This window comes from Homo sapiens, chromosome 4, assembly GCF_000001405.40.
Source record: "Homo sapiens chromosome 4, GRCh38.p14 Primary Assembly".
In the NCBI taxonomy this organism is placed as follows: Eukaryota; Metazoa; Chordata; class Mammalia; order Primates; family Hominidae; genus Homo; species Homo sapiens.
Window position 1 is genome coordinate 150,787,034 of NC_000004.12, and position 16,518 is coordinate 150,803,551.

At 34.9% G+C, this 16,518-nt stretch overlaps 1 protein-coding gene across 9 annotated transcripts in view; it reads right to left on the minus strand.

The window, feature by feature from the left end:
- The window catches only part of LRBA (LPS responsive beige-like anchor protein), a 751,293-nt gene that overhangs the window by 522,599 nt on the left and 212,176 nt on the right, over positions 1 to 16,518 (minus strand). For all 9 annotated transcript variants that reach the window (XM_047416462.1, NM_001367550.1, NM_006726.5 and 6 more), the window contains exon 34: positions 11,048 to 11,109. In XM_047416462.1, coding sequence (XP_047272418.1) covers positions 11,048 to 11,109 — 62 coding nt within the window. The remainder of the gene's footprint in view (positions 1 to 11,047; positions 11,110 to 16,518) is intronic.

Below are 16,518 nucleotides of genomic sequence, written 5' to 3' on the forward strand. Positions count from 1 at the left end.
CCAGCCTGGCCAACATGGTGAAACCTTGTCTTTACAAAAATAAAAAAAAGTCGCCAGGCATGATGGTGGGTGCCTGTAATCCCAGCTACTGGGGAGGCTGAGGCGGGAAGATCACCGCGGAGGTTGCAGGGAGCCAAGATTGCGCCACTGCACTCCAGCGTGGGTGACACAGACAGACTCCATCTCAAAAAAAAAAAAAACACTGATTCAGAATTCAGTAACTTTAATTTACAACCTACTTTGCTCTGTAAACAGTACTGCATAGTTTTACATGCACTGCCTAATAAGATCCTTTTTTAAAATTGTTTCGAGAAAGTAGTGTTAGAATTATATGTGGATCGTAAAAATGTAATTTTTAACACGAGATATAGAAATATTAATTTAAACATTAAATTTATAACAAAGGATATGATACGTTTAATTTTGTTTAACACCTTTTACTAGTTAAAAACTTCCTAGCATCTTCTATCTCAATACTTTTTGTTTTTTTCTTTTTAATCTTTCTGGGTACATAGGAGTATATATTTATGGGGTACATGAGATGTTTTGATACAGGCATGCAATGCATAATAATCACATCCTGTAAAATGGGGTATCCATCCCCTCAAGCGTTTATCCTTTGTGTTACAAACAATCTAATTATACTTTTTTCATTGTTGTAAAAATGTACAATTGAATTATTATTGACCATAGTCACACTCTTGTGCTATCAAATACTATTATTTTATTTATACCATTAACCATCCCCACCTCTCCTCCATCCTCCCACTACCTTTCCCAGCCTCTGGTAACCATCCTTCTCTACTATCTCTGAGTTCAACTGTTGCTTCCAAATTTTGCCTATTGTGAACAGTGCTGCAACAAACACGGAAGCGCAAATATCTCTTTGATATGCTGATTTCCTTTCTTTTGGATATATACCCAGCAGTCAGATTGCTGGATCATATGGTAGCTGTATTTTTAGTTTTTTGAGGAACTAAAAACCATTCTACATAGTGGTTGTACTAATTTAGATTCCCACCAACAGTGTCTGATTAAATCTTTTTGTTGTTGTTTTGAGACAGAGTCTCATTCTGTCACCCAGGCTGGAGCTCAGTGGCATGGTCTTGGCTCACTGCAACCTCCGTCTCTCAGGTTCAAGCAATTCTCATGCCCCAGCCTCCCAAGTGGCTGGGACTACAGGCACACACTACCACACCCGGTTAATTTTTTTTTTTTTTTTTTTTTTTTTTTTTTGGTATTTTTAGTAGAGATAGGGTTTCGCCATGTTAGCCAGGCTGGTCTCAAACTCCTGCCTGTGATAATCCATCCACCTACTCCTCCCAAAGTGCTGGTATTACAGGCATGAGCCACGATGCCTGGCGCTAATAAGATCTTAATATACCCATTTCACTTAATAAGAAACTGAGACTCAAGAAAGGAAAGTAATTTGCCAAGGTTACACAGTAAATAAGTAATAGAATAAAAAACATTTATTAAAATTCAAAATCTAAGAGACGGGCAAATCACCTGAGGTCAGGAGTTCAAGACCATCCTGGCCAACATGGTGAAACCCCGTTTCTACAAAAATACAAAAATTAGCCGGGCATGATGGCAGGTGTCTATTAATCCCAGCTACTTGGGAAGCTGAGGCCAGAGAATCACTTGAACCTGGGAGGCAGAGGTTGCAGTGAGCAGAGATCATGCCATTGCACTCCAGCCTGGGCAACAGAGTGAGACTTCGTCTCCAAAAAAAAAAAAAAAGAAAATTCAAAATCTAGGTCAGGCACAGTGGCTCACGCCTATAATCCCAGCACATTGGGAGGCTGAGGCCAGTGGATCACCTGAGGTCAAGAGTTCGAGACCTGCCTGGCCAACATGGTGAAACCCCATCTCCACTAAAATTCAAAAATGTGCCAGACATGGTGGCGTGTGCCTGTAATCCCAGCTACTCGGAAGGCTGAGGCAGGAGAATCACTTGAACCTGGGAGGCAGAGATTGCAGTGAGCCGAGATCATGCCACTGCACTCTAGCCTGGGTGACAGAGTGAGACTCTGTCTCAAAAAAATATATATATATATTCAAAATCTATCATCACAGTATTTTCCTGGCCTCAGCCTTTTCTTAAAAACCCACCTAAGGCATCTTTTTCCTTCTTCCTGTTATGACCCATGACAGAGACAAGAGCCACCTGTACATAGTTGACCTCAAACAGCTGAGGAATTCAGTACTAGAAAACCAAATAAATTGCATCAAGATTCTGATTCTTTTATTCAGGCCTAAATCAAAGTTCAAGCCTCAAATTTTGCTAAAACTGTATATATATTTCTGAATTTTCATATTATAAAATAACAGCTTGAATAAAAATAGGTGCCTGACTAAAAAATGTACAATAGATGGAATGTTTGTGCAATTACTCAAATAATCATTCCCTCCTAAATTATACTATGTCCTATTATGTATGTCAAGGTATGTAAATTACTAAATAATAATTTTATCGCAGCACTAAGTTAAACACTGCAAATACCATAAACATACAGCAAGATTTAAATCTGGATCCTGAGAAGCTGGGATGCCTAATATGAACTCTGACTACTCTGACTAAAATCCATTAAATTATATACTATTCATCAAAAACTATATAGTATGAGAATATAGCTAAAACTTCTAAAAGTTATCAGAGAGTTTGGTATTAAACAAAGGCAATCTCAAAATTTACACTTTTAACCTAGCCTCTCTATAATTCCTTAACTTCAGTAGATTGATTAGAATAGGAAAAAAAAGTACTAAGTAAAAGCAAGCAATGATAGCTGAGAAACAGAGACACTGATCTGTATTCTTTTTTTTTATACTTCAAGTTCTAGGGTACATGTGCACAACATCATTAAAACCAAAGAAAAATGTTATGCTCAGAATATTCCCATTTGTGTATTTCTCCCTTTTCCTAACTCTCTTCTTAATCCCAAATTTAAAAGACTAGTTGTAAAACAGTAGGGTGCCAAATTAAAACACATTTTATTTTCAGATGTCTCCACACTCACAGGCTGACTTCCTGTCAGGAAGAGTTCCATTTCATTGAATACCCCAATCAGCAGGGAACTTGCAGAATTAAGTGCCAGTTGATATTACTTTGTTTTGCATTTACCACCCTTGAGAATAATGTTCAAAGATCTAGTTATATAGTCAGCATGGTATCATCCTTCTGACTAGACTGCCAAGCCACAGGGTGTACTGCCAGTTCCACAAAATTTACCTCAAAGGTTGTGTTTTCTAAATCCTAGTGTGCTGGTGAATCCATAGGACGCCTGTATTTCAGGTCAAATCCTGAATCTAAAGTTAAATTATGTTTTTCTTTGGTTGTAACAGCACTTTTAAATCAATATTATGGAAACTCAAATAAAGATCAATTAATGCTCACCAACCCATCAACCTATTTTATTTTTGAAAAGAAAAAAAAAGTACTTTACTCCGATTTATTTTGTATTAATGTTTTTGCTATTGTTTCAAGACAAATGTTTCCACCTTATAATAGAAAGTTATCTGTTATAAAATTTTGAATCAATAAAGCATGTTTGCATATCAGCAATAAAGTACAGTTATTGAGCTGATTTTAAATATTTTAAAATAGTTCATGCATCTAAGTTTTTCATGACCAATTTATATAGCTTGAATCTTCACCTAACCTCTCCAACTACCATAGACTTCCTATCCAGTCCTCACAAGTCTATACTTCCTTCTTTTAAGGTCAACTGTTTTTACTGCGCACAAAATGAATTCTGAGCATTTCAGCAAAGAATACCTACTTTCTCGGGCTTTGTATATTATAAGAACAAAGCATTCACAGCAGCTCTAAAGCAAAACAATATGAGTGTATTAGAAGCCTACCCTATTGATTCTCATTCCATCTGCAATCAAAAGGTCATAGGTAGTAACAATAACAAAGCTCAGGGACAATCAATTTATATCCACTAATTTTTTATAAGTACGTTCTAAGGATAAGTTACAAACACATCAAGAAGGAATTAAAAATTCCTTTTTGAAATTGAAATTAAAATGTACTGAAACCAACATTTTCCAAACTTATTTAACACTGTATATTCTTTTCATGGAACAATTTCTTTTGAGACTGGGTCTGCTCATGTTGTTGCCCAGGCTGGTCTCAAACTCCTGGCCTCAGGCAATTCTATGCTTCAGCCCCAGTAGCGGGGATTACAGTTGCAAACCACCACACTGGGCAGAACACCTACTATTATTATCACAAGGTACTCACTGTGGAATTTGCTGTATTGAAAAAGTCAGATAGTGAGAGTTGATCAAACAAGCACATGGCTACCACAATTTCAACCAAGGAAAATTGTTAATGTCCGTTTAAAATTATTATCTTATATTACAATTATTTGTCTCGCTCACTAATTGTCTCTTCTACTGCTTAAGGAATAATAGATGATAGTTTCCTTAAAGGAAGGGGCTTGTCTTAAAAGCATACGACACATGTTTGCTAAATAAATGAATAAATAATACCAGAAGCAGACATAAAGAAAAGGACTTGGGCAAGGCAGATATATTCACACAAAGCTCTGTAGAAGAGACAGCATTTGAACTGAGCCTGATTGACCATAAAACTGAAAATTCTAAATGTACAGAATAATGGCCTCCTCAAACTGCTATACAAAACTTCGTATCATAGGATTTCCTTATAGGTGAAAGAAATGCATAATGAAGTTAAGAAGGCTTGGCCGGGCGCGGTGGCTCATGCCTGTAATCCCAGCACTTTGGGAGGCCGAGGCAGGTGGATCACGAGCTCAGGAGATCGAGACCATCCTGGCTAACACAGTGAAACCCCGTCTCTACTAAAAATACAAAAAAATTAGCCAGGTGTGGTGGTGGGCGCCTGTAGTCCCAGCTGCTCGGGAGGCTGAGGCAGGAGAATGGCATGAACCCGGGAGATGGAGGTTGCAGTGAGCAGAAATCGCGCCACTGCACTCCAGCCTGGGCGACAGAGCAAGGCTCCATCTCAAAAAAAAAAAAAAAAAAAAAAAGAAGGCTTATTTCTATTTTGATTAAGCAAAGCAACTCATAGTCAAAATTTCTATTTTTTGGTTGGCAAAAAATAATCCTTTATTTCATTACCTCAATTATTTCTTTGAAATAAATACATAATTTTCCTAATACCGGATAGTAAGTTTTAGTTAAAAAAAAAAAAAAGGTTGAAGCGTACCCTAAACACAGCACACTATGAATAGCTAACCACTCCACTTAAAAGAAATAAATTTCTATTTATATTAAGTTCAGCAGTAAGTAAAACTAATCCACAGTAATAGAAATCAAATCACTGGCAACTTGAGGTGACAGAGGAGGGGATTGATTGAAAAGAGGCACAGGGAAATTTGAGGATTAAAATGGTTGGGTATATGTCAAAATTCACTGAACAGTACACTTAAAATGTGTGGGTATTTACTGTATATAAATTATACCTCAATAAAGTTGACGTTTTTTATTTATTTATTTATTTTTGAGACAGGGTCTTCCTCTGTCACCCAGACTGGAGTGCACCAGTGCGACCCTAGCTCACTGTAACCTCGAATCTTTGGGCTCAAGCGATCCTGCTGCAGCATCCAGAGTAGCTAGGTCTACAGGCACATGCTACCAAGTTCAGTTAAATGTTTTTCTTTTTGGTAGAGATAGGGTCTTGCTATGTTGCCCAGGCTGGTATCGAACTCCTGGCCTCAAGCAATCCTCCCACCTGGGCTAAATTGTTTTTTTTAAAAAAAGAGGTCTAGGCTAGGGGCCGGGCACAGTGGCTCAGGCCTGTAATCCCAGCACTTTGGGAGGCCTAGGCGGGCGAATCACCTGAGGTCAGGAGTTCAAGACCAGCCTGGCCAACATGGTGAAACCCCGTCTCTAATAAAAATACAAAATTAGCCAGGCATGGTGGCAGGCATCTGTAATCCCAGCTACTCAGGTGGCTGAGGCAGGAGAATAGCTTGAACCCAGGAGGCGGAGGTTGCAGTGAGCCAAGACCACGCCATTGCACTCCAGCCTGGGCGACAAGAGCGAAACTCCATCTCAAACAAAAAAAAAAAAGAAAGAGGTCCAGGCTGACAAACATAAGGAGACCCTATCTCAACAAAAAAATCAAAAAATTAGCCATGTATGCTGGCATGTGCCTGTAGTCCCAGCTACTTGGGAGGCTGAAGCAGGAGGATCACTTGAGCCTGGGAGGTCAAATGCAGTGGACCATGATTGCACCACTGAACTCCAGCCTGGGCAACAGAGCAAGACCCCGTCTTAAAAAAATGAGGTGAATCTGATTAAGTCACAAGAAAATGAAAAACCAAAGGCCCTGCTCATAAATGAACATAACTACACTATTTGGTAATGATAAAATTAGTTGTCTTAATGAAAATGAAGATTTAATATAAAAACTAATTAATACAGGAAAGTATGGAGGTATTTCCTAATGAAAAAGACCAAAAGACAAAGTCCAAAATATGGTGACTTATGATCCATGTTACCATTGATTTATCAATTATACAAGTACATAAACATTTATATGGTTGAACAGTACTATACTGGACGCTGGGGATACAATAGAAAAAAAACACAGTGCTTGTCTTCAAGAAATTTGCAGTCTACATGGAAGAGAAAGGAAAACAACAGGCAACTTAAATATAGAATGAAATTAACTATGGGTGAGTGTTCTGCACAATACCTCATTTAGGCGTAGAGTTGTAGGGAAGAGAGGGTAAAGGAAATCTTTCCAAAAGAGATTGTAATTTATCTAGGAGCTAGCTAACTGATTCATTTTTTCCATAAATATTCACTAAGCCATAATGTGCTAGGTACCAGAAATACTTTAATGGACAAAGCAGAAATAGCTGTTACCTTCATAGCATCTAGAAAACAAAGAGGAATACTAACAGTAAACAAGTAAACCAATTAGCATATTTATACTTACAATTTGTGGTAAATTCTATAATTGGTGCTAAGATTAAGACAAAAAGATACCAATTATAGATATGATCCTCGAAGAATGAGATAATTAAGCTGAGCTCTGAATGATAAGCAGCAGCTAACAAAAGTCACCAAGTTAGAAAGAGGGGCAGCTTAGGGAAAGAAAAAGCATGTACCAAGACACAGAAATATAATGGCATATTTGGGTATCTTTAAATAGTTCAGCATGGCTTGAGAATAAGTGGTAAGAAATGAGGTTCAGGCATTAAGAGAGACCTAAATGGTAAAGGACACCTTGTGCCATGTATGGAGCTGGTTTGCCTTTTTTGGGGGTGGTGGAAGAGAGGTATTTTAATAATCTTCTCATACTGAAAATATTCATCTATAAAATCATAACTATAGAAAAGAATATTAATATCATATATTCAGAAAAAATAAACTCAAAATGGAGAAGAAACTTGGGATTAGAGAAAAGAAAGTACAGAAGAACAAAAAATAAAGAAACGTTTTACTGAAGATTCAGGAAAAAAATTCAAACATAAAACTGACATAAAATAATCATAAGAACTATCTCATTCTTATTATAAATTATTATAATTTTAAAATTAATAATTCAGAGGTACAGAAAGAAATACAAGTCAAAAATGACCAAACCTTATATCATTACCTTCATGTAAAGAAAATATTTCCCAAAACAGCAACAATCTACATATTTTGTTGAAAAATTTTTTAAAGAATAATCAGCCTAAAATAGTATTTTAAATTAACTTTTGCTGCTAATTAATTACTCAGACAGGATGCCAGTCCAGACTACATGGTGCTTCTAGTTTTTCTATATACTGTATGCATTTCTGATAAATGGGAAAAGAATAGATGACCTGGCAGAAGGCTCAGACAATAATATGTGATTTACAGGACAAGAATGCAGCTACCACAAGATTTATCTGACAGCCCTCTCCGATAGTGGACTGTTGAGTATCCGAAGGAATGATTTCTAGTCTACAAAGTCTACTACTGAGTAGCCATACACATTATTTATTTATTAGATGTTTTGGGTTGAAACCATTTTTAAATGATGCACTTCACAATGCACAGTCATAAATTTAGCTTTAAACCCAAGAAGGGAGGTAGTGTTATTGGAATGTATGTCAGACTGAATTAGGACTAGCAACACAACGCTTTTATAAAGTGGCCTTGAATGCAACGTCAAGTCTTTCAAAAATGATATTAATGTCAAATGAACAAGATACAAACACTTTATATAATGCTGGAGTAATATTACTTGAAACATTTGCTTAACATTTTCTTTAAATTCATATATATTTAAAACAGGTTTATACACATATACAACAAATTTGGCACACAAGTAAGTTGCATGTTTGTGAAAAACCACCTGAAACACAGTTGAGAACTTGTTCAATTTTTGTGTATTTGCAACAGAGAACATACAGTTTCCTGAAGAATGTAAGCAGTCTTATTTTAAGAAATAAAGAGGATTTAAATTGATCTTTGGAACTTCAGTCATTCTTGAATTATTCTACATGGGATTCAACAGATGAATAAATCTATTTTTACAAACCTCATATTTTAATTATACTCAAAAATATAATGCTGAGTATTATGAGAGGTTTCCAACTCTAATTAATAACATTTTGCCTAAACAATATTAACATTTAAATAGACTAAAATATGAAATGGTGCCTAATCAACTATTATATATAGCCTAATCAACTATTGGTAAATGAGTGGACATTGAAAATGACAATCTTAGTCAAAACAAATATATAGTGATCTGTTTGGTTTTATTGTCAGCTAACCAAATGTGATCATTTCCTCATTTCTTAAATTTAGGCTCTAAATTCTCTTTTACAAATAAAATGCAGTTAAACACCTTATTAAAAATAACACAAAAAGAATATAAGTTTTGAATGGATTCAAGAAAAATAATCAGAGCATGGCTGATTGTCATGAAATTAACACCAACTAATTTGTAAAGTTCTAAATCAAATTTGCAGATGTTAAGTTCATAAGCATATCCCATTATTTACGTGATTAAAAAGTAGTTTTTGACCTGATCTTTCGATCTTTGGCACTCCGTCCTCTCCATCTCCTCTTAAAAAATTAATTAAAATTTTAGCAAGATGGTAGCTTTTGCTTCCCACCCTATCTCAGACCAAAAAAAATTATCAATCAAACTCAAGCCATCCCCACCCAGGATCTGTAAAATGTCGACTTGAAATTCAATTTCATATCTCTTAAGCTTTCATGTAGAAAAAGACAGTTCACTTCTTAACAAAATAAATCACTTTTGTGATTGCCAAGTTGACCTCTTTGAATTAGGAAAATTCAAAGTGAAAAATGTAATTATCACCCCAGAACAATCTGTATACATCTGGAGCTAATTCTAGCTTCATTTTTCACATCATTTTTCACACTGTGCTACATCTTGTAGAGATGCCATGGAACTTTTGAAGAACTCACAAAAAATGTTAAGGACTTCAAATACCCAATAATGTATTTTATTCAAACAAAAACCTTGACAATTTCTGACTTGAAACTTACTGTACTATATGATCTTCATATCCCATTTGATTGCATTAGTATTAAACAGTACTGTGACATACATGATAAATAGGCATATTAAAACATGTCATTCTTTATCTTTGCAGCTCCTAACATTAAAATATGCAATATACTATATTGGAAATAGCTTCCATGTACCAAAAATACATTCGATTCTTCTAAACTAGAAAGTAAAACTTCATTGTGAAAATTCACCTATGAAATAATTATATCACTATGAACAATAAATTTATATTCTTGTAAGGAAACATCCAAAACCATAAGAATGCTCTTTTAAAGTGAGGGCAATTTCATGTAGACATAAGAATGCTATATGGCAATTTCTATCCAAGAAAGAAACAATTATTTCTAATCAAATGGCTTAATGAGAAATTTTATCTAGTCAGCTTTTGAAGAAATGGAGTTTTCTAAATGAGATGATTAAATTATAGAACATGATTCTCAGTAAATCTAAGAATCACAAGCCTACTAAGTAACTACTTCTCACAAGTTCATTACAAAAATCCATTAGGTGTAATCTCTAGAAGTAATTGTTCTTATCGCACCTTATTGACAATGCATAGTATTGATTTTTCACACCTTCTATGATTCTTTAATTTATATTCATGAAATGTCCATCAGCACAGTCTAAATAAATTTGGCATATAGGCACTAAAACAAATAAATCGATGCAAAGAAACATTAATTTTGCATTATCCTTATTCGTTAGGCAAGTAAACCATGAGAGTTGTAAATGAAGGTCAAAGGTTTTGAAATGGGTCAAAACCCTTGACCTCTAGACCAATACCTTTCCTATTAAAAAAGGCTATTTTAAAGTTTTAAGTGGGGGAATTTACTACCACCAAGATATCACTTTAAAAGACTACAAAGAAAACTCTCAATAAAAACATTCATCTGTTTAATTGCAAAACAGAAAAGAAAACCTCACAGGATACATGATTTTTATATAAGTTTTTTTTAAAAAAATCATTAAAGTTTACCACATGAGGTACAAGGTTTTGGAACACCTAAAATAATTTTGCTCTTAGGAATTTATTTTCTACATCTTATTATGATAGCTGCCACATTTTTGTTAATGTTTTCCCAAATCTACTGTGCATGTCAAAAATAATTACCAATGACAAGGATTCAAAATCATTTATCGCTCATTTTATAACCTCTGCACAAAATGGAAGTAAACCCATAATTCCCAGTGGAGTCAGCGTGGCACTCCACAAGATATAGAAATAAATCTGTTTTTATAACCTTAATATATACAGCAAAGAAATTATCAAGATCATTTGATCTGGACATTTTTAAAGTGACTCTAAAAACTTTTGTTTCTCACTTCCTCTCATGCTTGCTTCAAAATTATCTGCAAGTATCAAAAATAAGAAGTAATCCTTTTGCAATACAAACAAAATTATTTTAAAACAGCAAACTCACAATTTTATTATACCAAAAATTTCAGTAATGCAAATATAAAATCCCCCATGAAAACAAATTCATGTGATAATCTACTTTTAATTCAACATTTATTCTTGCCACTCACCTGAGAACACAGTAGCATAACCAATTCCACAACTGAACTACTCGACTTCATGCAAACCAGACCTATTTTAAAGAGAATTTTAAAAAAGAAGTTATAAAGAAAACAAATGAGGATTTGTTACAATTTCATCCAAACTGTTTCTTCAAATTATTTTTTCAGACTATTAATAGTGCACATTTAATCACATGATCAAATAAGGTACACTATAGTTAGTTCAAAGCTGGCTTCAAAACTACCACCATTTTTGTAAAGTATTTCATTTCAGCTTTCAAAATACTAAAACATTTATTACAACTTCATATATAATGACAATTCACAATACTCATAGAAATGTGCACAACATATGCCATATTGATCAATATCATCTACATTTTGTTTTGGAGAGAGTTGATCGTTATACATGCAGAGAAGGGAAATGGCTCCCTGACCTTTGCTTTCTCCACTACACTCTCTCCCTTCAACCCTCTAGCTATCAATCAAGTTTCCATTTTGTTTCATGGCAGCAGACATCCCAAACACTCTTATTAGTACCTTGACCTCTGACCTCACACTAAACCTTAACAGAAATGCAAGCCGTTGTCTGTTATATATTCTTGATTTCTTATAAATTAATTCATTTACTTTTATGTTTCATTTTGGTTCACCAAAAATATCTTTAGAATGGATATTTTATATAATTAATACCTATTTAAAGAAGTCTTTGGTTTTAATTACCAATAAAATATAAAGTAGTTCATTAGTATCTTAACAAAGCAATGCCAATAATTAAAGGGACTAAATTATTAAATTGCATTACTAGTAATCAAAAAAATTACAATTTTTTTATTCGACATTTTTCTAAGCAAACACAGGCTTAGGTTCCAGGGTATAACATCTAAAATAATTCCTGATGGCTCTTAAACATCCTATTGCCTTCTTTTTTCTCCCGAAGAAAACTCTTCCAGGTACCCTATCCATTCCCTTTGTCTTTTTATTCTTTAGTTCTTTCTCCTTCCCCGTTTAAATACGAATGCTTCCAACCTAATGATAGCGCATGTTGGCATTTTTTAGCTTTATAAATAGCATTCAAGTTAAAAGGGCTGTTCACCCCCTTCGTTTTTTAAAAAATGTTAGAACCATTTTTCTCAATGTCTGAAAAAATATGTAACATAGAAATGATGGTAACAGTGTCAGCACTGGCAAGAAAATTAGCTATAGAATGTCTCTATATTGTATTAGGAAGCAAATTATTAACTACAGTGTGATTTCTGTAGGGCGAAGATGAACATGGCTCTTCAGGCTAATGCTGTCAAGGCCAAAAGAAAAGGCAAGCAATACTCCCTCTCTTACTGCAGGTGTAGCCCTCTGCTGGTCTGAAACCTTGCCATTTTTCCTTAAATTTAACCCAGATAATAAAAGAAGTTCAGTTTTGCTCCAACTTCAAAACCCATTATTTCCAGAAAGTAAATTCAGATCTTTCTATTATTAGGTCATTAATCCTTATTGCTTTATTCGAGAGAAACTAGAATTCCTGCCATTGGGCCCTGATGGGCCCTTTTATTATACATCTCTTCAGATAATGAAAAATAGTAATTTTAAAAAAGACCTTAAGCTATCCAAAATTAGGGAGATTTATAGGTGCTCCTTTGTCCCTCTTACCACACTTATCATATTTCATACATATACATATATATATATTTTTTGAGACGTTGTCTCGCTCTGTCACCCAGGCTGGAGTGCAATGGCACGATCTCAGCTCACCACAACCTCCACCTCCCAGGTTCAATCAATTCTCCTGCCTCAGCCACCCGAGTAGCTGGAATTACAGGCGCCCACCACCACACTTGGCTAATTTCTGTAGTTTTAGTAGAGACGGAGTTTCACCATGTTGGCCACGCTGGTCTCGAACTCCTGACCTCAGGTGATTCGCCAACCTTGGCCTCCCAAAGTGCTGGGATTACAGGCGTGAGCCACCATACCTGGCCCATATACCTATATAGTCTTAAGAAAAATTTCACACATACACATTTCTGTTTATTTATTTCAGTCTTATTTTCCAATAATAAAGGCTAACAAACCAGAAGAAGGTTCATAGCTACTTTCTAGTTGGATATGAATATTCAGGAAAAAATATATTCACTGACAAAGCTAGTAAAAGGTCAAATAACATTTCATAGTTCGGTTTGAACAATTAAGGTGGAGGAGAGTGATGGTAGATGTATTGCAGGGGCAGGGTGGAAAGTATGTTCAATTCGAATGAGTAAGGGCTTCAGAAAACAAGAGAGACCTGATAACAGACCTTAAGTTCCCTGTCTAAAGGACACTGGTACTGTAAACACAAAAATAACATTGGGAGCAAAGAAATAGAGGATAGCCCCAATAAGGAACTTAACATCAAAATGTAGAACTTACGTCACTTCTATTTTTGACCTAAATTTTTGCCAATGGATGACACTCATCACATGTGCAAAAAAACAAATAATAAACCTGTAAATCTCTCTTCAGATTTAGTCATACTCTAAGAACATCCAAAGGAAGGCCCTAAAACCTTAAAGTCAAGTTGTAAGTTACTGCCAGAACTATCATTTTCATTTTATACACCCACAAACACACACACCCTATTACTGTCTCAATCAAAAGAAACGAAGTACTGCAAGCTTACAGATTTGAACCAGCTCACAATCTGACCTCTCTAAAACTCTCAGTAGAATAGTAGAATAATAGGGTTTGGTTTGATTATTTTTTGGTTGGCTTTTCAAAGGTAGAAAATGTTAGTCTTTTCAAAAGGACAAACTCAGGATACCAAGCCAAGAGTTTTATATCTGCACTAATCTGGAATTTTATGATCAAAGACCACTGTAATTTCTTCAGTGGAGACTCACCCAGATATATCACTTCAGTGAAAGGATTAAATGACTCACCAGACAGTAAGCCAGTGCCACCTAAACCCATCGATCTATCTAAATCCTCAAGTATACAATGAAAAAATAGTCATGACTATTTACTATCTGGAATATAAGAGCCCTCTTGTTTTTTGTATTTAAGTCACCTTAAATAATTTATTTTTTAAAATAGGATGGCAATAAACATTATGAGAAACTTTAATAAGAATTTAAGGATAATAAACTCAAGAAGTTTTACTCCATATTTTCCTGGTTTTGAAGGTATATACATATACTCCAAATGAGCATTATCTTTTAGATAAAACTAAATGCTCATGATGAATCTGAAACACAACCATCTTGAAAACACTAAGTCGAAATTTCAAATACATGTTTAATAGGCTCTAGCTTATCATAAATTCTGGTTTTCCTTCCTGAATTTATATCATCCAATCCAACATTTTGGAAAAATTGGATGACTAAAAATTTTGTTAAAGAGGACAGACATCTTCTTTGCTTGAGACTTGCAAAATATTTTCTTGTACAGATTTGCAAACATTTAGAATAATCAATCCACTGAATTTTTTATTTCCATATAAACTTTTCCTTCTAGTCATCATTGTATGCACACCTGCCTTTAGCATTTATCTACTTAGAAACTGTATCAAGTAAACTGTGGTACATAATCATCCCACAAGACGGAAGAACACCGCCACACGTCTTTTTAGAAAAATGGGATGGCCCAGGTTCTTGTCTCAAGTTATCACACAAACTAAGCACAATGAAGTCCTTCCTGCTAAATAACATGCTCATAGAGTGTACAGAGATACTGTGACCCTTTGGAGGGTCACAAACCATTGTAATATCTAAGATATTTTTTGCCTACCCCAAAAAAAGTTTTTGCCCCATTGAGACTGCAAGTTTATACTTTCTTAAAACACAGTGCAGGCAGAGTGCAGTGGCTCATGCCTGTAATCCCAACATCTTGGGAGGCCAAGGCGGGTGGATCACTTGAGGCCAGAAGTTCAAGAACAGCCTGGGCAACGCAGCAAAACCCATCTCTATAAATAAATAAATAAATAAATAAATAAATAAATAAATAAATAAATCAATAAAATTTTTTAAAACATTAGACGAGCATGGTGACATGCGCCTGTAGTCCCAACTACTTGAGAGGCTAAGGTGGGAGGATCAACTGAGCCCAGGAAGACAAGGCTGCAGTGAGCCATGATCACACCATTGCACTCCAGTCTGGGTGTAGGAGTGAGACTCAGTCTCAAAAAAAAAAAAAAAAAACCACAGTGCAAAATTTTGGGTAAAGCAATACAACGACAGAGGCTAATAAACAAGAGTAATTATTTCTTTTCCTATTGCACCATCACTCCAAGTGCAATTCTAGCATTCGTGGGTTTTTTTTTTTTAATTTTAGTCCACAGCATAGTAAAGAATAGCTGATGTGTAATAGTGAAATAGCAAAATGTTTCAAGATACAGAAAAAATAAGATCACTAAGACTATAATTAATCATATTTATAAAAAGGATCCAGTGAACTCACATATAATAATTGTAAGACATAATTTAAAATTTTCAAGCTTGTGTTCTCTTTGTTCTTTGGAAAATCTCTTTAGAAAAATTAATCCTTACAAAGGGTTATAACTACTTGAAAAAGAGGGTTAATTAACATCATTACAATTGAGACAATCAGGCTACAGGTGATTCCAGGCATGATGTAATATGAAATATTACATCTAATTTAACTTTTAGCTTTAACTTCAAGTCTTCAAAATATACAGGGCATATGGCCAGACGCAGTGGCTCAGGCCTGTAATCCCAGCACTTTGGGAGGCAAGGCCGGAGGACTGCTCGGGGTCAGGAGTTTGAGATCAGCCTGGGCAATGTGGCGAAACCCCATCTCTACAAAATATACAAAATTTAGCCAGCTTGGTGGCACATGCCTGTAGTCACAGCTACTAGGGAGACTGAGGCACAAGAATTGCTTGAACTCGGGAGGCAGAGGTTGCAGTGAGCCAAGATCGCACCACTGCACTCCAGCCTGGGTGGCACGGTGAGACTCTGTCTCCAAAAAAAAAAAAAAAAAAAACTAAAAACAAAAACAAAAACAAACAAAAAAAAAATATATATACACACACACACACACACACACACACATATATACACACACAAATATATATATGTCTATATAAACATATATATTTCTTAAAGATAAATATGGGCTGGGTATTAGACGACATTAAGAAACTATTACTATTATTAGGTGTAATAGCAGCATTGTGATTATGTAAGAAAATGTCTTTTTTTACATGCTATTAAGTATTCAAGGGTTGAATGACATGACATCTAAGATAGTTTTAAATATCTAAGATAGTTTTAAATATTAAAGCAAAATAAAGGGAAGTAGAGATATCAAATAATTATGGAAAAATGAATATGGTTTGGATAGCTGGTAATAAGTTCATAGATACTATACTTACTACTTTTGTGAAAATTTGAAATTTTCATTAAAATATTTTTAATACTAAAAAACTCATAAGCATTTTTTTAAAAATTAAGAAGCTTTGTAATGTTTGGTCACACAGCTAGTCACTGGCA